Here is a 26,366-nt window from a genome sequence, read left to right on the forward strand (position 1 = left end):
ACATCCTTATTCTTTCTGGCACTAAAAGATGCCCCTGGCTCACTTTGTATATTCTTTGCCCCATCCCTAGAATCAGTTATTTCTCCAGGGACCCTGGTTCCTTTTGTTGGAGAATGGTTTTAGAAACCAAGTTCTGGGCACTGCGTGTCCTTGTTGCTACTGAGGTGTCATTGCTTTTAGGTCTGTTCAGCTGACGGAACAGAGAAATAGGTGTATACTCACCCTTGTATATACACATATCTGTAAATATTTCTATATGTATCCATCTGTATCTATATTAAGTTGAACATGAGTTCATGCTAATGTTTTCAACTCCGATACAGTGTTACAGACCTTTTTTTACTAGCCTTTCTCCCTTGTCTGCAAACTCCTGCTCTAACAGTGAAAAACTGGTTCCTACCACCCACCATCCATTTACTTACATGTATAGTGGTTTCAGAATTGTTAACTTGTATCCCTTATGAGAAAGAACTTTATTGGCTAGAGTTCAGTGGTTATGTGAAATTCGTTATGTAAAATTCATTTTGCCCTTAGATCTAGAGTCCATACTCATTTCTGAAGGTCCTTAAGCCAGCATCTTTTCCCTCACTTCTTTCAGTGAGGTTATTTCATGCATTTTGATACAGTTGATTCTCATGTCATAGTCTGCATTTCATATTCCACCCCAGGATCTCTTGATACCCTAACTTTTTAAATTGCATATATTCAAGTTCTGTGTGCTATAAAGTTCTATGGGTTTTAACAAATGCTTAGTGTTCTCTGTCTACCATTATAGTATCATAGAGAACAATTTCACTGCCCTAAAAAAAATTCTCTGATAGGCCTCAACTCATCATTTGGCTTAACAGTCCTGCTGAGAGAGTCCTGCCAGTTGCATCTGAGAGACAGTCCTGCCAGTTGCACCTGCTGAGAGAGTCCTTCAGTTGCATCTGAAACCAGTCTGGTTTTTAATTTTACCTGATGTTCAGAAAATGCTCTCAGGCTGTCACCGGGCTGAAGAACTAGTTGGGTTGTAGCTGTGGCTGTGAATCTGGTTCCCAAGAACTGGCTGTATTAGTCTGTTCTCACACTGCTATAAAGAACTACTTGAGACTGGGTAATCTATGAAGAAAGAGGTTTAATGGACTCACAGTTCCACAGGCTGTACAGAAGCATGACTGGGAGGCCTCAGGAAACTTATAATCATGGTGGAAGGCAAAGGGGAAGCAAGCAGCATGACGGAGCAGGGTAGAAAGAGAAAGGGAGAGTAAAGGGGAAAGTGCCACACACTTTCAACCAACCAGATGTCATGAGAACTCACTATCATGAGAACAGCAAGGGGGAAGTCTGCTTCCATGATTCAATAACTTCCCAGCAGCCCCTCCCCTGACAGGTGGAGTTACAATTTGAGATGAGTGGGGACACAGAGCCAGACCATATCATTCCGCCCCTGGCCCCTCCCAAATCTCATGTCCTTCTCAACCAATTATGCCCTTCCCAACAGTCCCCCAAAGTCTTCGTTTTTGTTTTTGTTTTTGAGACAGAGCATCAGTCTGTCACCCAGGCTGGAGTGCAGTGGTGTGATCTTGGCTCACTGAAACCTCTGCCTCGCAGGTTCAAGCAATTCTTCTGCCTCAGCCTCCTGAGTAGTTGGGACTACAGGCATGCGCCACCATGCCCAGCTAATTTTTTTGTATTTTTAGTAGAGATGGGATTTTGCCATGTTGGCCAGGCTGGTCGCAAACTTCTGACCTCAAGTGATCTGCCTGCCTTGGCCTCCCAAAGTGCTGGGATTACAGGCATGAGCCACCATGCTTGGCCTGTCCACCAAAGTATGAACTCATTGCAGCATTAATGAGTCCGCAATCCAAAGTCTCATCTGAGACAAAGGCAAGTCCCTTCCACCTATGAGCCTGTAAAATCAAAAACAAGTTAGTTACTTCTAAGATGCAATGGGGGTACAGGCATTGGGTAAATGCTCCCACTGCAAAAGGGAGAAATTGGCCAAAACAATGGGGCTACAGGCCCCATGCAAGTCCAAAACCCAGCAGGGTAGTCATTAAATCTTAAAGCTCCAAAGTAATCTCCTTTGACTCCATGTCTCACATCCAGGGCACACCGATGCAAGGGGTGGGCTCCGAATGTCTTGGGCAGTTCTACTCTGTGCCTATGCAGGGTACAGCCCCTGCGACTGCTTTCGTGGCGTTGAGTGCCTGTGGCTTTTCCAGGTGCAAGATGCAAGCTGTCAGTGGATCTACCATTCTGGGGTCTGGAGGACAATGTCTGTCTTCCCACAGCTCCACTAGGTAGTGCCCCAATGGGGACTCTGTGTGGGGGTTTCAGCCCCACATTTCCCCTTTGCAGTGCCCTCATAGAGGTTCACCATGAGGGCTCCATCCCTGCAGCAGACTTCTGCCTGGACGTCCAGATGTTTCCATACCTCTTCTGAAATCTAGGTGGAGGCTCCTAAACCTCAACTCTTGCCTTCTGTACACCCACAGGCCCAACACTATATAGAAGTTGCCAAGGCTTGAGGCTTGCACCCTCTGAAGCCACAGCCCGAGCTGTACATTGGCCCCTTTTAGCCATGGTTGAAGCTGGAGTGGCTGGGACACAGGATGTCAGGTCTCAAGGCTGTACAGAGCAGTGAGGGCCCTAGGCTTGGCCCCCAGAACAATTTTTCTCTTCTAGGCCTCCCAGTCTGTGATGAGAAGGGGTACTGTGAAGATCTTGGAAATGCCCTGGAGATCTTCCCATTATCTTGCCTATTAACATTTGGCTCCTTGTTGCTGATGCAAATTCCTGCAGCTGGCTTGAATTTCTCCCCAGAAAATGGGTTTTTCTTTTCTACTGCATGGTTGTACTGCAAATTTTCCAAACTTGTATGCTGTGCTTCCCTTTTAAATGTAAGTTCCAATTTCACACCATCCCTTTCTTCACTCATATGAGTGTACACTTTGAGAAACAGCCAGGCCACATCTTGAATGCTTTGCTGGTGAGGAATTTCTACTGCCAGTTACCCTAAATTATCTCTCTCAAGTTTAGAGTTCCACAGATCTCTAGGGCAGGGCCAAATGCCACCAGTCTCTTTGCTAAAACATAGGAAGAGTGACCTTTACTCCAGTCCAGTAAGTTCCTCAGTCTCCATCTGAGACCACCTCAGCTTGGACTTCATTGTCCATATCGCTATCAGCATTTTGGTCTCAACCATTGAACAAATACTAGGAAGTTACAAGCTTTCCCATATCTCCCTGTCTTCTGAGCCCTCCAAACTGTTCCAACCTCTACCTGTTACCCATTTCCAAAGTTGCTACCATACTTTTCAGATATCTTTATAGCAGTACCCCACTCTTGGTACCAATTTTCTGTATTAGTCTATTCTCACACTGTTATACAGAACTACGTGAGACTGGGTAATTCATGAAGAAAATAGGTTTAATTGACTCAGATTTCTGCAGGCTGTACAACAGCATGGCTAGGAGGTGAGGGGGAAGCAAGCACGTCTTATCATGGCAGAGCAGAGAGAGAGAGAGTGAAGGGGGAAGTGCCACACACTTTCAAACAACCAGATCTCGTGAGAACTCACTGACTATCATGAGAACAGCAAAGGGGAAGTCTGCCTCCATGATTCAGTCACCTCCCAGCAGGCCCCTTCCCCAACATGACTGGATTACAATTCGAGATGAGATTTAGGTGTGAACACAGAGCCAAACCATACCACGGGCAAAAATTGATTTTATAAGAAGTGAGAGAATGAGACAGGTGAATATTTTGAAGGCTTGTGTGGCAAATATTCATTAGCCAGGTTTATTAAAAACTCAGCTACTTGGGAGGCTGAGGCAGGAGAATCACTTGAACCCGGGAGGTAGAGGTTGCAGTGAGCCAAGATCATGCCACTGCACTCCAGCCTGGGCAACAAGAGTGAAATTCTGTCTCAAAAAAAAAAAAAAAAAGCTCATAAATACATTAAGATTTTATTCACAGTGTGGTGGGTGTGGTACTCAAGGCCTTTAATGGGATTTTAATAATCCAAACCTAATTCAGTCTCCAGATGACTGTGCAATATAATGGAGATAATGCTGCTTTACTTTTCCTTACTCAGAAGGTGGTTGTGAAGGTCTGCTCAGGGTAGCCAGCGTGCCTTTCCCAACACCCTTCTTTCTGTTTTGCTGGTTCTGCTTTCTCTCATTCTCTAAACATGGCTTTGGTCCTTGATTCTTTGCTCTTTGAACTGTACAATTGTTCCTTGAGGGTCAGTCAGCTGTCTTGTGGTTCAGTTATTCCTGTGTGGATGACTCTACCTGCAGCCCAGCCCTTTATTTTAAGTTTCAGGTCCCATTTATCTTTTTGTCACACATTTCTAATCTCCCTACAAATCAGTATTTTTAAAAACCAGAGTCATCCCAAACCAACTGACCCTCTAGATTGCCTTACTTCTTGCAGATTTAGTCTTACCGTCTTCCAGATACTACAGCTGCCTTTGGGCTTTTCATCATCCCTTATCCTTAGCCACCAAGTCCTGCTGAGCTTCTTTTGTAATACTTCTCTCCTGCCTCCTCCACTGCACACTTGTACCACTGAGACAGTCTCTTAATTCTGCCCAGCACCTCCAGCCCCATCTACACCCCTCTAGTTTGTCCTCCAGCATGTTGTTTTAGGACTGTTGCTAGCCTAATTATTTGAAATGAAATTTCAGTTCTTAACTTGGCATCCAAACCTTTCGTCCATTGCATTTCTAGCTTTACCTTCTAATTTCTAGCTTTACCTTCTAATTCACTTAAATGAGATACAATTTAATTAAACCATGTATTCCTTGCAGCTTCTGTGCTGTTTTCCACATCTGTCTCTTTCCCCATGTTGGCAGGGTAAATTTTAGAGGTGTAATGAAATTTGCAGGTGGAAGTTATGGGGATATAGATTGTCTTTAGCTTAATGTAAGGATGACCTTTCCAACAGAATTGCTAATGATGGGGTGGGTATCATGGAAGAAGTCTACCTGTCATCTCCCAGGTCATCTACTGTCATCTCCCCTTTAAAGACCTCATCTTCCATATCTGCACATTTGGCTTCTCCTCTCTTTTGAAGCTGCTTGTTTCCATGTCCCATGATGCTAAACTTGGGGACTCCTCCCACCTCTCAGATTGTATTTTCTCTGGTTCTTTCTTTCACTCCTTTAGTGAATTTGCTTTTTCTTTTCTTCTTTTCCTGTGCTCTTTCTTGAAAAATTTCACTGCTCTTAGACTTAGTGTTTACCTTTTGAGAAAAATTCCCAAATGATAACCCCAGCCGTATGTTTAACTACATGATTTGTCTTTATTTCCAACATCTTGCCAGATATTTCTATTTGAGTACTTTTGTGTCCAAATTTAAACTCATTTCTTTCCCTTTAAAACATGTTCTTTCCCTGAGTTCCCTGGCTGATTAGTGGCAACAGAGATGGGCAGATCTTTCTGTAAAGGGCCAGAGAGTAATATTTTTGTCTTCATGGGCCATAAGGTCTCAATCACAGCTACTCATCTTGTAGATAATATGTAACTAAAGGGTTGTGACTGTGTTTCAGTAAAACTTTACTTATCAAAATAGGCAGCAGCTGGCATTGGCCTTTGGGCTGCTGTTTGCTGACCCTGATCTAGGATACCCAGGCCCCAAACTCCATACTCCTTTGGCCTTTCCACTGCTTTTGTTTGCTCTCTTCACATGATTATTAATTTTCACTGATTTCACCCTTAGCAAACCATTCATACTTCTAGACCATAGCTGTCTGTCTATTCATTCATCTAGTAGACAAAATCTTCCTTTTACATGTTAATCTCTATCATTTTACATAATCAAAAACCTCTAGTGGCTCCCCTTGGCCTGCAATCTAAGGTTACAGTTCTCTGGGTGTAGCTCTTTCTGTGTTTTGCCTCCAGCCTTCTCTCTTACTCCTGTATGGACATTCCTCCAATGACACTGATCAAGTGTGTGTTCTGATATTAGTTCTATCACTTCTCACAGGTTGCTCCTGACTCAGAATGGTCTCACTTCCCACTAATTGAAACTTGCCTTCAGGCCTCAATTCAGGGTCTCACTTCCCAGGTAAAGCTTCGCCCTAGCCCAGTGATTGCTCCTCTCCTAGGGCTTTTTTTTTCTTTTTCTTTTTCTTTTTTTTTTTTTGAGACAGCATCTCTCTCTGTCACTTAGGCTGGAATGAAGTGGTGTGATCACTGCAGCCTCCAACTCCAGGGCTCAGGTGATCCTCCTGTTTCAGCCTCCCAAGTAGCTGGGATTACAAGCATGTACCACCACATCTGGCTAATTTTTTTTATAGAGATGGGGTCTTATTTTGTTGCTTAGGCTGTTCTGGAGCTCTGGCCTCAAGTGATCTTCCTATCTTGGCCTCCCAAAATACTGAGATTACAGATGTGAGCCGCCACACCCAGCACTGAATAGTGCTTTTGATGTTGCCACTGACCTATTCAGTTGAGACCGCATTGGGTTGTAATTTGTGGTGTTCCTCCCTCTCCATCTGAATTTTCAGAAGCTGTTAAGGACAGCCCAGTAGATGCTCAGATGTCATAGGTAAAGGTCATACATTGAACTCTTTGTCTTTCCTCCAGTTCTGCTTCCCCCTTGGAGTCCCTGTCTCAGTTAATGGCACCAGGGATCATCATTGCCTTGTGATTCTGACTCCTTCTCTTTCACCTCCACCCTACCTGCATCAGTTACGAAAAGTCCAGCTGCTGCTCCCTCCTATGTCTTTCTCCTATCTGCCCTCTCCTCTCCATCCCTTCTACTGCTGCCTTAGCTCAGGTCACCACTGTCTTTCACTCAGACCATTGGACTTGCCTTGAACATGAATTCCCACCACCAGCTTCTCTCCTCTTATAATCCCAACAGTTATGTATCGGGATCTGACATGTAGGTATGACCTTGTAACTTTCCTGATTGAAACCCCTCAGTGGCTCCCCATTGCCCTGGGATAAGGACCAGCCTGCCAGCATGTCGTGAGGCCATTATTGATTGGATGCACTTTCCTCTGCAGTCCTATTTCTGACTTGTCTCATTTACACAGCTTACATTTGATCATCTGTAACCCCTATACATCTTCTGTGCATTTGCACACTCCCCGTCTCTGTGTAGATGCCCCCCCTCCCCAGGTCCACTTGGAAAACCATCACCTGAATTTCTAGGCATTGTACAAACGTTCCCTCTTTTGTGGAGCTTTCGTCTCCTTCCCTCCAGAAGACCAAGAGGAGTAAAGGTGTTATCATAGAATAACTGTTGGGATAGAGATATAGGCTTCATCTATTTTCTAATGCCTCCTCAGATTCAGAGTCTTCCAAAGTTTCCCTGCAGACTGAGCAATGAATAATTAAGCAAACAAGTCTCTAAAACATCTTGAAATGCTTATGTATGCTAAATATGTAGTTTTGAGTTCTTGTTTTGGTTTTGCTGGAGCTTTTGCCTTCTTCCTCCATTACAATGGATGATGAGAATCAACAATGTAGAATTATTCTCGGTTAGTTTATATCTTGTTTTTAACCTGGTATCTTCAGTGTGTTAAGACATTTTTCCTTTCTTGTGGGGGTTCCCCTGCAAAGAAGGAGGCTCACTTGTGGGGCCGATGACCACTGTCTCTAGGCAACCCAGAGAGGTGTGAAAGAAAGAAGGGGGCTGTGAGGCTGCAGGGAGTATATTCCCCATCTCCAGCCAGGGTCACACCTGTCACTTCTGTTTAGTACCTCTTCCTAGTAAGGAGAACGTATGCTCCCTTTCTGGAAGGGTCTACTTAGCAGAAACGAGGAGTGGCGAGCTCATGTGGAAAGTGCTTTTTTGATGTGTTCTTTCATGTAGGGGACACACGGTGTGGAGGGGATGCACAATTACTCTTCTGTGGTTCCTCTTTCTTACTCCAGGGTCTCCTTTGCCATGAGGTCCCTAGGGACGTCTTATCAGAGGAGAAGAAAAGTACCTTCTTAGTTCTTTTTTGTTTTGTTTTGTTTTGTTTTATTATGGGGTTTCACTTTGTCACCTGGGCTCTCCGGGGTGCAGTGTTGGAATCGTGGTTCATTGCAGCCTTGACCTCCCAGGCTCAAGTGATCCTCCCACCTCAACCTCCCAAGCAGCTGGGACTACAGGTGCATGCCACCACACCTGGCTATTTTTTATTTTTTATAGAGATGAGATCTCCCTGTGTTGCGCAGACTAATCTTGAACTCCTGGACTCAAGTGATCCTCCTGCCTTGGCCTCCCAAAGTGTTGGGATTTCAGGTGTGCCTTGGCCTCCCAAAGTGTTGGGATTTCAGGTGTGAGCCACTGCAGCCAACCCCTTCTTAGTTCTGGAGAGCAGAGTCTTGCCTGGCATCCTGGTGCTATACCAAGAGTCCTCTCCTGGTTTCCAGAGAGGACATTTGACTTCTTCAGGAGAACTCACCCCACTCCTTTTGGTCCATTAGGAGCACCAGAAGCTTTGGACCTGATGGGCTGGGCTTGGTCTCTTCAGAGCCTCTGTCCTCATTCACAGAGGAGGTATCAGGTAGGCCTTCCAGCACAGAATTACATTACCTGGGAATTTAAGTGGGAGGAATTGCAGTGGAGTATTTTGAAGATCCTAAGGCATCCTTCATTTAATTTACATTTTCGATTCTTCAGATATTGGAATCAAAGATTGAGACACACACATAACACTAGAGCACACAGTAGACCATTTCTACCTTGAGCTATCTCCTTGTTAGAGAAAAAATAGTTTTGACTGTTTGTGATTTTTTACTACGGGCAGAAAAACTTTGAAAAATTAATTTCAATGTAAAAGAGTTTTACTTTTGCCAGATGATAACACTTCCTATGCTAGAACCTGGGGGTACTGGGATCTGACTTGAAGTAATTCTAAGTTTAAATTTATAGCAACCATGTGGGTCTGTTCAGCTGGGAGGGGAGAAATATTGCGAGCCATAAGGATGTATTTTAGAGAGTTTCTTTAGTAGTCTTCAGATGTCTACTTGCCCTGTACAAAGTTCAGAAACTGTTTAGGACTTGGAACCTTAGAATATCAGATAGAAAAGGATTGACAGGCTTAGTCTACTCTGTTTTTGAGATGCCGAAGCCAGGTGACTTCCCCTAGTGGCAGGTAGGCAATGTCAGAGTTGTGATCATGGCCTGGGGCTCTTTTCCAACCTGCTCTCTGACCTCACATAGGATCCGGATTGAGCAGGGTAAAGGGTGGACCAGTAAAGGCTTTAATCAGTAAAGTAATGACAGTGTTTTCCTTCATTTGAAACCAGTCAGATTTGATACTACTTTTCTGTTCAGTTTTTGCCATCATTGTTTTCTGGAAGTTTTTAATCTGTAATACCTCTTAGTATGCTTTAACACATAACACCTAGTGTCATTGTTATAGAGATGAAAGTAGAAAATTAGCAGGGATGTAGTATTTGCCTATTGCAACTTCTTTTCCTTTAAACCCCTTCCCATGTCGGGGGGATACCTTGTGTGTCTGCAGCATGTGATGCTGACTCGGACTCTCCAGGCAGCTGACTAACGGCACCTAAACTGCCTGCTGCATTTTCCCTGCCCCAGCACAGACTTGCTTAGCAGCTCCCGCCTCGGGCCCTCATTGAGAACCATCCAGCGGCACATCAGGCTGGTGCCACTCCCAGTGGCCTTGGCAGTGAGGAGGTGAGGCGAGAGCACCCTCAGGTGCTAGTGGCACGAGTCTTGCCCAGGCTCCCAGGGGAATGAGTGGTGTGATGACCTCATGTGCCAGAAGCCAGGGCAGGCATGCTTGAGGCTGAGAGAAAGCAACAGATGGACCTCAGGCAGAAGCAGTCAGAGCAGCCTCAAGGGAGGCTGGTGCGGCACCAGCGTGGCATCTTCCCAGCATCTGAATGTTGGCTTGACCTTCGCTGTTTGTGTGACCTCACCCAATTCAGTAACCTCACTGAGCCTCCCTTTTTCCATCTGTGCAACGGTGATGGTAGTACTTCACTCTGCAAGCGGTGGAGGTGAGAGATAATATAGGTCAAGCATTTAGCAGTTGGCCAAGCTAAAGACATAGCTGTTGTTTTTGTTATTAGAAACACAGCCTCAGCCAGGCACAGTGGCTCACACCAGTAATTTTAGCACTTTGGGAGGCTGAGGCAGGTGGATCACTGGAGCTCAGGAGTTCGACACCAGCCTGGGCAACATAATGAGACCTATCTCTACAAAAAATACAAAAATTAGCTGGGCGTGGTGGTGTACACCCATAATCCCAGCTACACTGGAGGCTTAGTTGAGAGGTTGGCTTGAGCCCAGGAGATGGAGGTTTCAGTGAGCTGTGATTGTGCCACTGCACTCTAGCCTGGGTGACAGAGCCAGACTCTGTCTCAAAACAAAAAAACAAAAACAAACAAAAAAAAACAAGAAAAACCAATACAATCTCATTTTTCCTGTTAGGTTATTCATACAAACCTGTTGGAATTTTTTTTCTTTAGGAATTTGAATGCTCATTTTTAAGCCAGACAGTTTCAGGTGGAAGAGAATCATGAAATGCTTTATCATGTTTTTGTTATTTATCGCTAGAGTAAGACTTAGGAAAGCTATAGAAAAGAGCCATCCAGCCAAGAATTTGAATTTTGTCAACTTCTCTATTACAGAGGTTTGCTCAAAGCCCATAGAGTCTAGATGAACCTTCTACCTTTGCCCCCAAAATTGCTTTTTTCTTTTAATATGCTAGATCCCTTTGCTTATTCCAGGCTGAAATGAATGTTATGTAGCTAGAAGTTTCCTGTCTGTGATCAATTCTAATGGCTTTTGTGAAGGGAAATGGTTGTAAATTATTACCAGTTAATTAAATGAGTGTTTCTCTTGAGTCCTTTGTGTAGGCTTTTATCCAAGCCTGTTTAGAATCATGGAACATTACAGCTAGAATATTTTTAGACAACTCTTGTTTCATGGACAAGGAGACTTAACCAGTGATATAAGTACTTGCCTAACTCCTGCAAAGTGATGCCAAGGAAAAGCAAACTTTGGCTGAGGGTGTAGGAGTGGCTGTGCTGGGGATCCGGTGGGTACATCAAGCTAACAGAGTATAATTTCTAAGCAGTGAGCCCTTGTCATCCATATGTCACCGGTATTCCTTGGAGCCATCTTGGAGTGCTTTTATTTTTTACAAAGTGCTATCTTGTAGGACTATTCTATAGTAAATATTACCTTTCCTATTTTTATAGGTGAGGAAATTGAGGTGGTCAGATGACCTTATTTAGCTCTTAGATCAACTCAGCAGATATGTATTGAGTGTTTACTTGGTTCAAGGAACTCTGCGAGGCTCCTTGGGAACATAATGTCAGATCCTGCTGGAATGGAGGTTACAGACTTATTGCAAGTGATGAGATATGTGTATGAAAATGTAAGTAATTGTTCAAGGTATAGATAAGTGTTAATAATAGTTGAGATGTGAATTTTGAGACCGGAGGGATCAATGTGAATATCAAATCCTGGCACCAGTTTCTTCCTTCTGCTGCTCATGAAGCTGTGTCATCTTCTGTGCTCGGTAACCCATCCAACCTGTAGCCCTAGGAGCTCCTCTGGGGAGTCTTGAGTACCTTGCAGTTGTCCCGACCCTGGGAGTCATTCAATAAAGGTTCAAATGAATGAATAGATAGGTGCGGTGAAGAGAGACAGGTTTTCCAAGCAGAGAACACGGCATGAGCAAATGTGTGGCTGAGTGATAGAGCCAGGAGAGGGGCCTGACTAGGACAGCAGGTTTTAAAAAGTGATTTTTTTCTTCTTTTTGTATTTTAACTTTCTAAAGTGACAATGGAAGGAAGGGAATTTTGAAAACAAAGTTTGGATAGATTAGTGGGAAGGCAGCAAAAGGGGAGCCCAAGTGGTCCTGAAAGCCAGGTGGAGCAGGGTGTTTTATTCTGAAGACTCTCGGAGACCAGCGGAGGCTTTAGAGGGGGAAGTTGATGAGATCAGCACTTTAGAAAAGGCTGCTTTGTTTTTGGTGGGGTGTTCCATGACTGCAGGAGAAAGGATGAGGGAGGAGGCCTGCAGTGACAGGGATCCTAGAATGATGGAGGGAACGAAGGGAAAAACAGATGGTCACGGTGCCTCAAGTCGGAGTGGCTCCAGGATTTTAAGCCTGGGAACGCAGAAGAACAGTGGTTCTAGTGATTCAGTGATGACCACTGGAAGCTTTAGGAGGAAACATGGGATTGGAGCCCTTTAAAGCTGGAATTGGCCCCTTAGAGAGAATCTGGCTCAGGCTTCCCAGATGGTGGTCCGTGGTCTGGCTATATCAGAGTTACCTACAGAACTTTTAAAAACAGCAGATGCCTAGACCCCGTTCCCTTGCCCCAGAAAATTTAAAATCAGTAGATCACCTGTGGGGTCTGGGAATCTTATATTTAATCCCTTTCTGTGATTCTTTGGCAAAGAAGATTGAATGGCCTTCCTGATGTCGCAGATTGGTCAGGACAGAGCACCAGGACCCAGGTCTTCTCTAGCATTGCTATTACTCAGCCACAATGTGGGAGATAGGGGATAAGTTCAGATGGGGAGGTATAGTATTTGAGGCAGCGCTGATTCATGTGAGTTCAACACTGATGGCTCTTTGAGGAAGGGGTTACTTGGCATGAGAACTCAAGGGTTAGATGGCTCTGAGGGTGCACGTTGGGAATCATTCAGTCAAGAAATGCTTTCCCGAGTGGCTGCTGCAAACCAGGCATAGGATATTTTCAGTCCACTTCGGGGACTCAAAAGTGTAGAACAGAGTAGTAGAAACAACATAGAGAACCCTAAAGGCTGAAGTTGTGTTTATGTTTTCTTCTCTGAGCTGTTTTGAGTAAATTTAGGTGTAAGTTACAATGTATGGGTTGAAATTCATTATTTTGGGTATGGATGTCCCGTTGTTCTAGCACCATTTGTTGACACTGAGTTTTTATACTTTTGTTCATTTGTCTATTTGTATAGAAGAATCACATTTTTTTAAAGACCACTGTTATCTGGGTTTCAACAAGGGCCCAGGAGTTGTTCTTTTTACCAAGAGAAGTGGTCTGTAGGGGAGGGGGTTAGTGTGTTTATTGCTCCTTGAATGACTGTTATAGTAAGAATGCTAAGTGTGTTCATTTCTATGTGGGGCTGCCCTAGACTCTGACCTCAGCTCTGTTCTATTAGACACTCTGTCAGTGCATTAGCCAATGACATAGGTAGCCTGAGGCCCTGATTTGGGGAGCCATAAAACTGAGAAGGGGAGTGAATGAACTGACTGGATTTGCGATCCAGTGAACGCTATGACCTGGGACAAGCCAAAATATTGCAGAAAAAAAAAATGAAGCACTTAGGTTTTTATGAAGGTTTTGAGCCTAACCACTGCACGAGCACAGGATGTGGGAAGCAAAGCCTTATGGCAGCTAGAAAAGATGCAGAGGTTTTAGTTCATTGCAAGCTCAGCCTGGGTCACTGGGGCTTCTCAGAGCGCCCATGTATTCTCGCTGCATTGGTAAAGGGCACTGTCACTGTCAAGATCAACGTTAATGATAATCTTGCTCTTGCTGGTGAAAGTCAGGTCACACACTCAGCCTGACTTCACCCTTTAATGGGGGTGTGAAGAAATTGGGGCATGTCAGGAGGAAACTGACTAGAATGGTGAAGGAGGAGAAAATCATGTCCTACATGAAGTTGCTGAGAGTTTGAGATACCCAGGTCTATTTTATTTACTCATTTGTTCCACAAACCATTTTCTGTCCCCTTATATGCAAGGTAGGGTCTCCTTTGGGGACAGGGCATAATGACTACAACATGATGTGGGTTCCAGCAGTAGTCTTCATAACAGGTGTGGAGTTGCCCACCTGTCTGAAAGAGGTCTGGAAAGGTCCCCCTATACAGGTGGGTCTTGAATTGATGGACAAATAGGAGTTGGACAAGTATAAAAAGGAAGAAAGGAGTTTCCAGCCAGAAAGATCACATACCCCAAATCACTAGGCAATAAGCTACAGATGGGTAATGTGTAATTTTCATAATTTTGACTATATTCCCCAGTATGCTGCTTGATCCATAATGCGTTTGGTTGCTCTCTCAGAATAAATGAAATAACATACCTCCCTGGAGAGTGTACAAGAATTAAGAGATGGGGATACTGGTTGTATGCAGCTGCAGTGGTGGGAAGAGCTTAGGCTGAAAGGTAGGAAGGGGTTTAGTGTCTAGGGCTATGTGCTGTGCTAAAGAATTTGGACCTTATCATGGACAGGAGAGGAAACACTGACGGTTTCTAAGTTAGGAAGCCACATGGTCAGATTTTAATTTTTGAAACATGTCACTGGCAGCAGCTGGAGGACAGTAGTCTGGAAATAGAAGGCAGCTAGAAGCCCGTTCAGGGAGGCCAGATGAACCACGGCAGTAGGAGTGGAGCAGGGGTAGATCCAGGAGAGACTTCGAGAGTGGACGTGTTGGGATCTGAGAGCGATTCAATGTACCTGCTGAGGAGCTGGGCTTCTGGCGTGGCCTACTGGGTAAATACAGGGCTCAGGAGTGAGAGGAGGGCCAGGAAAGGGTGGTGTCCTGGAAGTAAGGAATGAGAGATTCATGAAGAGGAAGATGTCAAGATCAGATGCGGCAGAGAGATCAACTGAGATGAAGACAGACACATCTTTGTATCTGACAGTAGGACTTCATAAAAGTTGCTGGAGCTGTTTCAGTGCTGGTGGGAGGCAGGGAGGCAGACGGCAGGGGATAGCACGGATGTTAGAAGGCATAGAGGGATGTGATAATTGTTGTCGAATATTTGACCTATTCTCTTTGGCTGACAATTTGAATATGTTTTTTGAGTGCAAGTGATAGAAACCCCTACTCAAACTGGCTAAGACAAAAGGAATTTATAGGCTCAAATAACAAAAAAAAATCCCAAAGAATCAAGCAAGGCTTGATCTAAGGGTTTAAATGATGTTACGAAGAGCTGTTCTCTTTCTGTCCCTCAGCTCTCCCCTCTTTGTTGGCTTCATTCTGTAGCTCAGTGGGGGGACAACACAGGTGCCGGACACTCCCAAGTTTGTGTCCTTCCAGATTGAAGTTTAGCAGAAGCGAGATCTTGTCCCTTCCTTGTAGATCCAGGATTCCTAGTTGGACCTACTTGGATTTTTGTGCTCAAACCTGAACCAGTAGATGCTGATACCGGGTAGGGAGTTGTAATTACACTGATAGCCAGAGAGAAGGAATGTGCCTGCCCCAGGCCAGCTGTGCAGAGTTCAGTCAGTGCTCTGATCTGCTAGGCCTGCTCACATGTCCACTCTGGAGTTAGGGGCAGAATCCCAGATGAGCCATTTGGACTACATGTGAGGGAGGAGTAGTTCTCAAATAAAGCTCAAGTGTTATTCCCAGAAGCTGGGATGGATGTACTAGCTAGAGACAGTGTCCACTGGAGCTGTAGAGGGCGAAACTAAGGTAAATGAGTGGAAATTATTGGTCTTGCTGCGTTTGTATTCATAGAGAAAGATCTGTCTATATTGTACAGGAATGAAATAGGCCAGCTGTTAAGGTAGTGAATTGGTTGTCACTGGGGGGTATCTAAGCAACTACCGTGAATAAATGATAACAGCCCATCAGCAGTGTATAGAAGGAACAAATAACCTCCAAAGCCACATTTTTCAAACTGTTTCTCTGTGACACAGTAAGGAATACATCTTTACATTAAAACCTACTGTACCCTTTTATATGTATACAAAACTACACACAAAAGTTGCATGAAACAGTGCTTTTCCTTACTACCTGTAGCATGTTCATATTTTCTGTTCTGTTTTTATTCTACTTTGAAATCCCTATTGTCCGCTGGGTGTGGTGGCTCATGCCTGTAATTCCAGCACTTTGGGAGGCTGAGGTGGACAGATCTCCTGAGGTCAGAAGTTTGAGACCAGCCTTGCCAACATGGCGAAACCCCATCTCTACTAAAATTACAAAAATCAGCCAGGTGTGGTGACATGTGCCTGTAGTCCCAGCTATGTGGGAGGCTGAGGCAGGAGAATCACTTGAACCCAGGAGGCAGAGATTGCAGTGAGCCGAGATGGTGCTACTGCACACCAGCCTGGGTGACAGAGCGAGACTCTGTCTCAAAAAAAAAAAAAAAAAAAAAGAAAGAAATCCCCATTGTGTGCAACCCACTAAGTTGCTTTCATGTCTCTCTAAAAAGTTTCAACCTGCAGTTTGTAAAACCCTGTTCTAAGGTCCAGTGTCTTACCACATCTGCCCTAGGTGGACAACACTTGAAGACCGTGTTTAAATCCGGCTTTTCCACCACAGTGGGTGACATGGGTCAAAAATGCGGAAGGAAACCTGTTCTACTTGTGAGAGCTCCTGCTTCTAACTGGTGGAATCTCCTGCTGTCTGTCAGAGTAGCTCCTGACCCATCTTGGGGTGGAAAGGCCTTTGTGGGCCCTCAGGGAAGTGTTGAAGGGAGTTTACGGGCTGGCTGTGGGCTGCAGGATGGCGGAGGCGGCCAGGCAGCAACTGTGCCTGTGCCAGCAGTAGTTTATGTTGTGAGGTCGAATGTATGTGTATGTATGTATTCTCTGGCAGGCCTTTATATTGAAGATGAGGGAGTGTGGCTTTTAAAAATAATGTATTTTTGACTTGAAACAAGTCAAGGCAGAGAGTGGAGACAATTAGAGGCTGATATCCTGTTTAGTCATCTCTCTAGAGAGCTCTATTTTCAGAGCTGTTCTATAAAGGTTCACAAGTGGTATTAAGATAGTTAAGAGGATATTGTTAACAGTAGTCATGATGCAAGTAGCTGATTTGAACAGGGAGGTGATTTATAGTGTGGTAACCACATTGGTAACAGGTTTTATGCAGAGAAAGGGTGGGTTGTAAGAATAGGTTGTTATACAGGTTAAGCTTTCTGAATCTGAACAAAGCAGGCATCTTTTATTTTGAAAAAGTATATAATCAGGGTGTGGTGGTGACCTAGGGTAAGTCCAGTGCATTTTTGGGGGCTTTGTCATGGGTAGATACAATAAATTTTAAAAAAGTAAACAGTACTGTTAAGAATCTTTGAGATTGGCTGGGCATGGTGGCTCTCGCCTGTAATCCCAGCACTCTGGGAGGCCAAGGCGGGCGGATTGCCTGGTCTCAGGAGTTCAAGACCAGTCTGGGCAACATGCCTCTCTAAGCCAGGCATGATGGCATGTGCCTGTGGTCCCAGCTACTTGGGGGGCTGAGGCAGGAAAATCACTTGAACCCAGGTGGTCGAGGCTACAGTGAGTCATGATTGCAGCATTGAAGTCCAGCCTGGGTGACAGAGGGAGACTCTGTCTTAAAAAAAAAAAAAATCTTTGAGATCATATGTGGAGGCTGTGTTAGAAACGCTAGGCCAATGCCAGGCACAGTGACTCACACTTGTAATCCCAGTGACTTGAGAGGCTGAGGTGGGAGGATTGCTTGAGCCTAAGAGTTTGAGACTGGGCAACATAGTGAGACCTTGTCTCTACATACATACATACATACCTAGATAAGCAGGCAAGCTGGTTATGGTGGCACATGCCTATAGTCCTAGCTACTTGGGAGGCTGAGGCAGGAGAATCGCTTGAGGCTGGGAGTTCAAGGCTGCAGTGAGCTATGATTGTGCCACTGCACTCCAGCCTGGGAGACAGTGAGACCCTGTCTCAAAAAAAAAAAAAAAGAGAAAAAATGCTAAATAATGATGCCATAGACTTTTCAGATTGGAAGAGTGAGGCTCAGTGTGGTAAAGGACCTTGCCCAGGGTCCAGAACCAGCTGTGACAGAATCAGACTAGAGTTCTTGGCCTGGTCTAGTAGGGGGGCTCTTTCCACTGTACCATGTGACTATTTGCAGCTTATTTTAAATTTAATATTTGACCAAAAATGGTCATTCGTATCTCTAGTGAAACTTCTCTATATGCCAGTCTTCCTCTTCAGATGAAAGGTCAAAGGCAGAAATGGAGCCACAGCCAAAGAAAGAGAAAAATAAAATAAAAATGGAGCCATGGGCAGAATCTGAAAAGATTTATTTAAGGACAATTGTAAATTCATGTATTTGAGTCCACAAGAGCCTCACAATGCAAGGCTTAGAGGTGTTCATGGATAGTGAAGTTAGCATCCGGTAGGAAGAGGGGAGTCCGCCCACCTAAGCTAGTGGTGATCAGAACAGAGCCAGAGGTGCTGTTCATCCTGGGCGCCATGCTGTATGGGGTCTTTCGGAAACTGGACTATATGCAGAGGACGACACCATATGAAAAGACTTCAAGCTGCATTGCTTGCAGAATGCATGTCTTGATATTTCAGCTGATAGGTAACTTCAAGGTATGTTGATACTCCCGTGACTAATTAAGAGTAGCAGTCCGACACAGTGTCTCACGCCTGTAATCCCAGCACTTTGGGAGGCTGAGGCGGGAGGATCATTTGAAGTCAGGAGTTCGAGACCAGCCTGGCCAACATGGTGAAACCCCATCTCTACTAAAAAATACAAAAACAGATCAGATGTGGTGGCACACGCCTGTAATCCCAGCTACTCAGGAGACTGAGGCAGAATTGCTTGAACCTAGGAGATGGAGGTTGCAGTGAGCTGAGATCATGCCACTGCACTCCAGCCTGGGCAACAAAGTGAAACTACCTCTCTCTCTCAAAAAAAAAAGAGTAGTGAATGCAAGGCTCCTAAACTTCCTTCCCTAGTGCTTCCTTAAGATTGACCAGACTTTGGTGGAAATATGTAGCAGAGACTCTTTATACTTTTTACTCCATAAAACTAAAGATTTGCAGTTGACCAAGCCACATGTGTTCATTACCTTGTATGTTGCCGTTATTTCTCTATTTCATATTCTTGCCATGTGGTTTAGTAAAATGCTGCTCTTATAAGCCATATGCATAAGATATGGAGGTCTCAAAAACAATTACCAAGTATGTGGATGTGCCTGTCTATATTATGACAAGCCAAAAATGGGAGAGAATAAAATTCAAGAGGAAGGAAACTGATAAAATGTGGTTTCTTTTCAGTCTTTACAGTTTTTTGAGCTTTCACTTGTTTCCCTGCCACTCTACTATTTAATGAAAGACTTAGATTTATTTGATTTGTGGCTGTGATTTACACATTAGGCCTCTCTGTGATGAATTGTTTAAGGCCCACAAAAATATTTTAAAACTAACATATAATATACATTTTTTTTTCTCTTTGTAGGTGGATCTCGAGCCAGAGGGGAAAGTATTTGTGGTAATAACCCTTACCGGGAGTTTCACTGAAGGTAAGAATGAGTTTTGGGTAGTTTCCAGAATACATGTAATCTTGGTTTACACTCAGTAGGAATTTCTATCATGGACATTATAAAAAAGAGCATGTTGTAAGAGATGCTTAAAAAATCACTTTCATAAGTTGGGCTGGCTAGTATTTTGTTGCCCAGTGGTCTATTGGTTCAGGTTGCCAAATTAAATATATTTGCTAAATCTGGCAATCTCACGTTTCATTTAACACACTCAATGAGTTTTTGTTTTTAGCCAGTGTCATCGTAGCTGAATGGTTTTTGCGTCTTTTTGGTTCATGACTGTGGAACTCTACGTCTTTGGTTTTGTGCCATCTTTTAGTTTGCCTGTGAATGTCTATGAAAGAAATTTAGGGATCCAGTTATCTTCTTTATAATCTCTATCTCATTTGTGACCTGTAAGGGATTCTGTTCTTCATCTGTGGCTACCGTACTCCCTACTCCCCCATCCAATATTTTTTTTACTTGAGGTAAAATTTATATGGGGGTGAAATGATAGATCAGAAGTGAACAATTTGAATTTTGACAAATGCATACAACTGCATAACCAGCACCCCAATCCAAGATACAGGACATTTCCATTATTGTGAACATTTCCCTGTACCCTTTTTCAATCCCCTGCTCCCAGAGGCAATAAGTAAAGTGCTTTATTTCACCACAGGTTAGTTTTACCTACCCTAGAAGTTCATATACATGGAATTATACAGTATATTCTCTTTTATGTCTGGTTTCTTTCACTCAGCATAGTTTTTAGAAGATTCATATCATTGTGTATATCAGTATTTTTTTCATTTTATTTCTGAGTAGTAGTATCCCATTATATAAATGTAGCATCCATTTGTTTACCCATTCTCCTCTTGGTGGACTTTTGGGGTTTTTCCTATTGTTGTCTATTATGAATAATGCTTTTATTAACCTTCTTACACATAAATTTTTCTGGACATAACACTTTCATTTATCTTGGATAATTATATAGGAGTGGAATTGCTGGGTAATAAAGTAGGTGTGTGTGTAACTTCAGAAGAAACTTCCAGATGGTTTCCAAAGTGGTTTTATTATACTCCCACCAGCAATGCATGAGAGTTCCAATTACTTCATATCCTCATTAACACTTTCTATGGCCATTGCTTTTCATCGTAGACATTCTAGTGGGTATGAAATTATATCCTGTGGGTAAATTTGCATTTCCCTGATGGTGAGTACTTTCTCACATGCTTATTGGTCATTTGTTTGTTTATTTGATAATTTCCAGTTCCAGTCTTTTGTCCTGTTTTCTAAAATTGGATTTGTCTTTCTATTATTGATTTAGAGGAGTTCTTTGTTTTCTGGATATGAGTCCTTTGTGAGAAATAGGTATTGTGATTACTTTTTCCCAGTCTGTGGCTTGCCTTTTCATTTTCTTAATGGTGTCTTTGAGCAAAAGTTTTAAATTTCTATGAAGTTCAATTTGTTAATCTCATCTTTTGTAGTTCATATGTTTTATGTCTTCAGAGATCTCTCTGTCATAGGATCACTAAGATATTCTCCTGTTTCTTTTTTTGTTTTTTTTTTTTAAGAAGCAAATAGTTTTAGGTTTTATGTTTAGGTCTGTATGCCTTCTTAAATTGATATTTGTGTGTGATGTTACAGAGGAGTTGAAACATTTTTTTTCAATACACGAATGCAGTTGTTCTAGCACCATTTATTAAAAGTCTCCCCTGGCCCCTTGAATCACCCTGGAACCTTTGTTGAAAATCAATTGACCATATAATGTGGGTCTGTTTCTGGATTATCTGTTCTGTCCTGTTGATCTGTTTGTCCATCTGATCTCTCTTTCTTTTCTCTACATTATGCCAGTATTACACTGTCTCATTACTGTTGCTTTATAGTGAGTCTTATGGTTACATAGTATGAGCCCTCCAACTCCGTTCTTTTTTGTATGTTTAAGGTTATTTTAGCTATTCTCAGTATTTTGCAATTTGATATCAGTTTTAGAGTCAGCTTATATATTTCCAGACAAAATCCTGCTGTATTTTGAATTGAAATTGTGTTGGATCTATAGATCAGTTTGAGGGGAATTAACATCTTAACAATCTTGAGTATCTTTAAACCCATCTGTAGTCAAATTAGTCAATTCTGTAGTCCGTGGACATGGTCTTTGCTCGTAAGGCATAGCCAGTGTGAGGTTTCAGTAGAAATCCCAAGGTGTTTTAAGCCCATTAATTTTATGTCACTCAAGCTTCTAACTCTTTCTCCTATGGGTGGGAAACAGCTGAAATCTCAGTTCCTATCTTTCAGCATCCTAGCTCTTGCTCCTGTCTGGACCTCTTAGAGTTTCCCTTGCACATGCACAGTTTAGGAAGATGTGAGGGCTTGAAGAGTTTACATATGTGGAGGTTCTTCTTTCTGTGGCCCCATCTTTCCAGGTTTTCTCCCCTCAATATCCAGTCATCTGGTAGGCTTGAATTTTGTCAATTCTGCCTTCAAGCCAATAAAACTGTGGTTCCATATTGAGTTCTATTTACCCAATCCTGCACAACCTGGGGAATAATCTGGAGAAAAGCCCTACAAATGTGGGTCTCACCTAATGCGGTTTCCCTCCTTCACGTGTCAGATTCTCTCTAGTTTGTATGTGTTTTTGGTTGTTCTCTCACATCATCAACTAGTTGTTTAAAATATATTTTCCAGGTATTTTAATCTTTTGGTGGGAGGGTTGGTCCATATCAAGCTACTTCACCATTACTAAAACCTCATGAAGATTTTTAAGCATGTGGCTTAATTGTTTGTATTTTTGGTATTGGCATTTTGCAAAATTGGTTACACTTTCTTTGAGAAATAGTTTTCTCCACTCCTTTCAGCCAACCATTCCCATTCATATGGGTGAATTGTTTTAATGTTAAAGTTTTTCAATATATCGTCTGCATTATTAAATCTTGTCTTTTTGCACAAACCTGGATTTAGCAGAAACCTAGAATACTTGACATAAAAAAAAAAACTGTTCAGGTTACAATTTGGGGGGGTGTTCTGCCTGCTCCAAGGTCTTTTTGCTTTGCTTGGTATCTTTTATGTACAGAGAAAAATGAGTCTGTTCCTAGCCTAGTCAAATAAAATCAATGTAGTATTATGGAACATTGTTGATAAAACATTCTCATCATGCACGTAGAACATGGATCAGCTATGGTAGAAAGAAACACAACAGTGAGAAAGAGGTCAGGAGGAGGAGTGGGTAAGATTCTCTCTCATTCGAGCTGAATCAACTCTCTGCATTAAGTTACAAGGGACTGGCGAAGTAAAGCAATGCATGTTAGACCAGGTCTGATTGTGCCATAATCATTACATGACTTTTTTAGAGCCATGCCAACTCTCTAGGACTAAATGCTCACCAAATACATCTGATTGTTCTCATTGTATTTATTTCTTAGTTTCAGTGATAATAAGAATGAAATGGTAAGTCATACTAGAGGTGAGTTCTTACTAGGTCATTGCAGTTGTGTCTTTCAGAGCTGACCCTGGGTAAAATTGTGAGATGAGTTGAGTTTATCTTTGGTAATTCCATCTTTGCTTTAAGCTAGTCCTTTGTCTCTGCCTACAGTTGTCCCTTACTGCAGCAAGAAGCCCAGTGGTCCCTGTCCAGAAAGAGTTGCTGATAAGGAAAACAGTTAATTCATAGGCTAATTCACACTACAGTGATAGAGATTGATGTCATAGTACTCTATTCCTCTTAGGTGTGTTTGCATATTTTAAAAGATGCTGGAAGAGCTGCTTTATCCATGAGAAATAGACTTTTAATGCTAAAATTTTAATATTGAAATCTACGGGTGGGGTATATTTTAGGAACCCCATATCTGTTCTCTGTGTCTCTGTGCGTGCATTGCTTTTTCATTTTGGCTCCTAGACTGGGGCTCAGCTTGAGCTTGCACGTTGCTGCTGCCTTTAAAACACCGCTCCCTTGTCACATGCAGAGGACGTGATGGCTGCCTGTCTGTGTTAAGTAAGAAGGAAATGGAGCCCCCCCCCGCATTTGCCTGCCACAGCTGTGGCAGCAACCTGGACCTGGCACTGAGAGCATGTCCCTAGCTTGACCTCGCTCCTGGAAGCCACCTTAGATTATGTCCAGCCATAATATGACAGGTTGGCTGGTGCAACATTTGGAGCTCTAGTTCCCATCTTGGATACTGAAAGCCTTCATGGAAAAGCAGTGTAAGGTCAGGCCTGCCCAGTGTGTTTTGGACTGTGAAAAGGGCATTGTCCTAGGATCCTGGAGGCACTGTCAAAGCTCAGGAAATGTTGGCTGATCCTCAGTCTGTCTCACATGGTTGTCTTGAAGGTCAGATGATATAATATATGGGGAAGTGCTTTGCAAACTATAAAGTACTATATGAAGGTATGTTAGTGGGATTTTCATTTCCATGTTCCTATTGTCACAGCAAGGAGATCCCAGTCATTTCCCCTACCCCTGCCCTGGGACCATCTTGTATACTCAGCAGGTTCGTTTTATCTTAACATTGACTTTATGGCCAGGCGTGGTGTCTCACACCTGTAATCCCAGCACTTTGGGAGGCTGAGGCAGGCAGATTGCTTGAGCTCAGGAGTTTGAGACCGGCCTGGGCAACATGGTGAAACACCATCTCTACAAAAAATACAAAAATTAACCAGGTGTGGTGGTGCACACTTGTAGTCTCAGCTACTTGGGAGGCTGAGGTGGGAGGATTGCCTGAGCCTGGGAAGTGGAGGTTGCAGTGAGCTGAGATAGTGCCACTGCACTCCAGCTTGGGTGACAGAGTGAAACCTTGTTTCAGAAAAAAAAAAAAAAAAAGAAAAGAAAAGACTTTATTTTATACAAGAAGCCTCAAGAATTTCATGGACAGTGGCTAGCATAATGTTGGCTTATCTCCATGCCTGTTTTCATGATCTCCTATGCGGGTTCTGCCATAAGCTCAGATTCTATAATCTCAAAGCACTCCTTTAAAAAAAATTACTTAAATTGGACGGTGGTCTGTGATATACAAGGCTGGTATTGGGGCTACTGACTGCTACTTACCTCATTTTTTAATTTTTCATTAATTATACTGAATTAGCTCAGGCAAAACTATTTTGTTAAATGTAAGACATGATTGAGAAGTGACATAAGAAAAACCTGCTGGGTGCAGACCTGTAATCACATCATAGATGCTGGAGAGATAAAGATGAACGAGACATAGACACTCTCACAGGAGCTCATAGGAGGGAAGGCAGATACATATTATGTATGCAATGCAGGGAGCCAGGTCCCATGGCAGGAATAAGCCCAGTGCATAGTGTTGGCACATGGGACTACATAATCAATTTGGCCAGGAGGGTTTAGAGAAAGCTTTTCTGGGGAGGTGATGTTTAAAACAAGTCTGAATGATAAATAGGACTGTGCCTAGAAGGGAACAGAGTTCAAGAGAGGGAGACAGTTTGTACAAGAAACGAAAAGGAGTGTGGAGGTGCTAAAGGTAGGGGGTGTGGAGGTGCTGAAGATTGGGGAGTGGGATGGGGGGATGTGGCCAGAGATTTCGGAGGGCTTATGTGTGGGCTTGCCCAGGACAGGCTCAGTTTGTTGGTTACACCAGAATAATTATACAACAGCGCCACTGTTCACTTTCAAAAGGGTGCCAGGTCAGACAATAAATTGCATGTTCACACCACTTGTAGGCTAATAGAAATGATAAGATACCAGTGAAGGGTTTTAAGCAGAGATCTGATTTGGTGGCAGTAAGTTCAAGGGTGGGGAAGGGGTGTTAGTTGATAAGACTAGATCTAAGGTGTGGAGAACCATTATAGAGACTTGGAAGGTTGTCTCAGGGCAAGATTATTAGGGCCTGAATTAGGTTGGAATATGTAGGGGTGGAGAGGAGGGGGACAGCTTTGAGAGATGTCTGTGTAGTAAAATCAGTAGGAATTAGCAATCCACTGGATGTGGAGGATGAAGAAAGAGGAGTCTCAGATGATGCTCAGATGGTGCCTCAGAGTCATTTACCAGGGTAGAAACTGGGAGAAGATGATGAATCCAGCTTTGGACAAGTGGAGTTTGAGGTGCTTGTGGGAAATCTAAGTTGCAATGTCTGGGAGAAATTGGAAATAAGATTCCGGAGTTTGGCAAGATGCCTGGGCCTGAGATGTAGCTCCAGGTGCCAGGTGGAAGACAGGCACATGGATAAAGAGGCCCATTGAGAAGATTTAGCAAGAAAACCAGCAAGGCTGACCAGCAGCAGAACTCTGTGGAGCATCAACATTTAAGTACTTTGGCTCATGAATTATAGTTTATCAAACCAACCAAACTATGCTGAAGGTTTACTTAATGAACACCCATTTTGCTAAGATATTACTTGTGAAATAGTATCTGAGTGCTTGCTGTATGCCAGGGACTGTTTCACCAGATTGTTTACCGTCTTCCAAATTGGCACCAAAATGTTTGATAATGAAGTTAGAAGAAAGAACAGAACACAAAAGGCTTTGAAAAGTAATGTTTGCATTGGTGGTAACAGTGGTTTCTTCAAAGTTTGATGATACAATGTGCTGTGTGAAGGTTTATGCCTAATGCGGGGGTAAAAAGAACAGATGAACCTACTCAAAACCTGCAGTGAGGGGTCTTCACTGAACTTAGATAGAGCAAGAAAAACTCTTTTACATTCATTGCTTTGTGGAAGTCTCTCACAGAGCTCAAGGCGTATAAAATTATCAACTGGATCAGAAACCCCTCACCACTGTTCATCTTGTTAAAGGTGTCACTCTGCATCTGTGCAGAATTCCCCTAGGCACTGAGGCAGAAGTAGAAGTGATTTATTATTTTGAAAAAGCTGCCTAATGTCAATCTTTATTCTAACTAAGCCTTCCTGAAGCTAAGAACTGGATCTGAAGTCTGATCAAATTGAAATTTATTATAGTGATGAAACAGCCCTGGATTTTTAATGCAGCCTTCAGATTCCATCATTGTTGCCATGTGTGTGATTGTCACTATGTTGGACTAATTTTTGTCTGGAAGAGTGGAGTAGCAAAAAAAAGAATAGATTGAAACAATGGAAACTGAGGAAAATGCATTAAACTAAATTCATAACTGCTTTAATTGGAAGAGAAACAACAGAAAGAAATTAAAGTATGACATCATCTTATGTGAGGACAAAAAGATGTAGCTGGATTATTATGCTACTAAGAAATATGGTGT

General features: G+C 43.0%; 1 protein-coding gene across 8 annotated transcripts in view, besides 4 other annotated features; it reads left to right on the forward strand.

The window, feature by feature from the left end:
• The window catches only part of PRKCH (protein kinase C eta), a 363,509-nt gene that overhangs the window by 184,635 nt on the left and 152,508 nt on the right, over window positions 1–26,366 (forward strand). For 6 of the 8 annotated variants that reach the window (XM_024449661.2, NM_006255.5, XM_011536957.2 and 3 more), the window contains exon 2: window positions 19,123–19,186. Coding sequence is in view for 6 of the 8 variants with exons in the window: in NM_006255.5 (NP_006246.2) it covers window positions 19,123–19,186 (64 nt within the window). In the remaining 2 variants the exon portion in view is untranslated. Of the gene's footprint in view, window positions 1–6,136; window positions 14,454–14,923; window positions 18,252–19,122; window positions 19,187–26,366 lie in introns of those variants that run through there. The other 2 variants (XM_011536954.4, XM_011536955.2) reach the window with 2 other exon arrangements.
• Window positions 328–387: an enhancer, noted in NCBI's record as "active region_8488". NCBI's record gives its function as "activates an Ori minimal core promoter by ATAC-STARR-seq in GM12878 lymphoblastoid cells {active_cell/tissue: GM12878}" and the evidence as "EXISTENCE:reporter gene assay evidence [ECO:0000049][PMID:35858748]".
• Window positions 1,088–1,137: an enhancer, noted in NCBI's record as "active region_8489". NCBI's record gives its function as "activates an Ori minimal core promoter by ATAC-STARR-seq in GM12878 lymphoblastoid cells {active_cell/tissue: GM12878}" and the evidence as "EXISTENCE:reporter gene assay evidence [ECO:0000049][PMID:35858748]".
• Window positions 15,803–15,902: an enhancer, noted in NCBI's record as "active region_8490". NCBI's record gives its function as "activates an Ori minimal core promoter by ATAC-STARR-seq in GM12878 lymphoblastoid cells {active_cell/tissue: GM12878}" and the evidence as "EXISTENCE:reporter gene assay evidence [ECO:0000049][PMID:35858748]".
• Window positions 16,403–16,772: an enhancer, noted in NCBI's record as "active region_8491". NCBI's record gives its function as "activates an Ori minimal core promoter by ATAC-STARR-seq in GM12878 lymphoblastoid cells {active_cell/tissue: GM12878}" and the evidence as "EXISTENCE:reporter gene assay evidence [ECO:0000049][PMID:35858748]".

This window comes from Homo sapiens, chromosome 14 (assembly GCF_000001405.40).
Source record: "Homo sapiens chromosome 14, GRCh38.p14 Primary Assembly".
Lineage (NCBI taxonomy): Eukaryota > Metazoa > Chordata > Mammalia > Primates > Hominidae > Homo > Homo sapiens.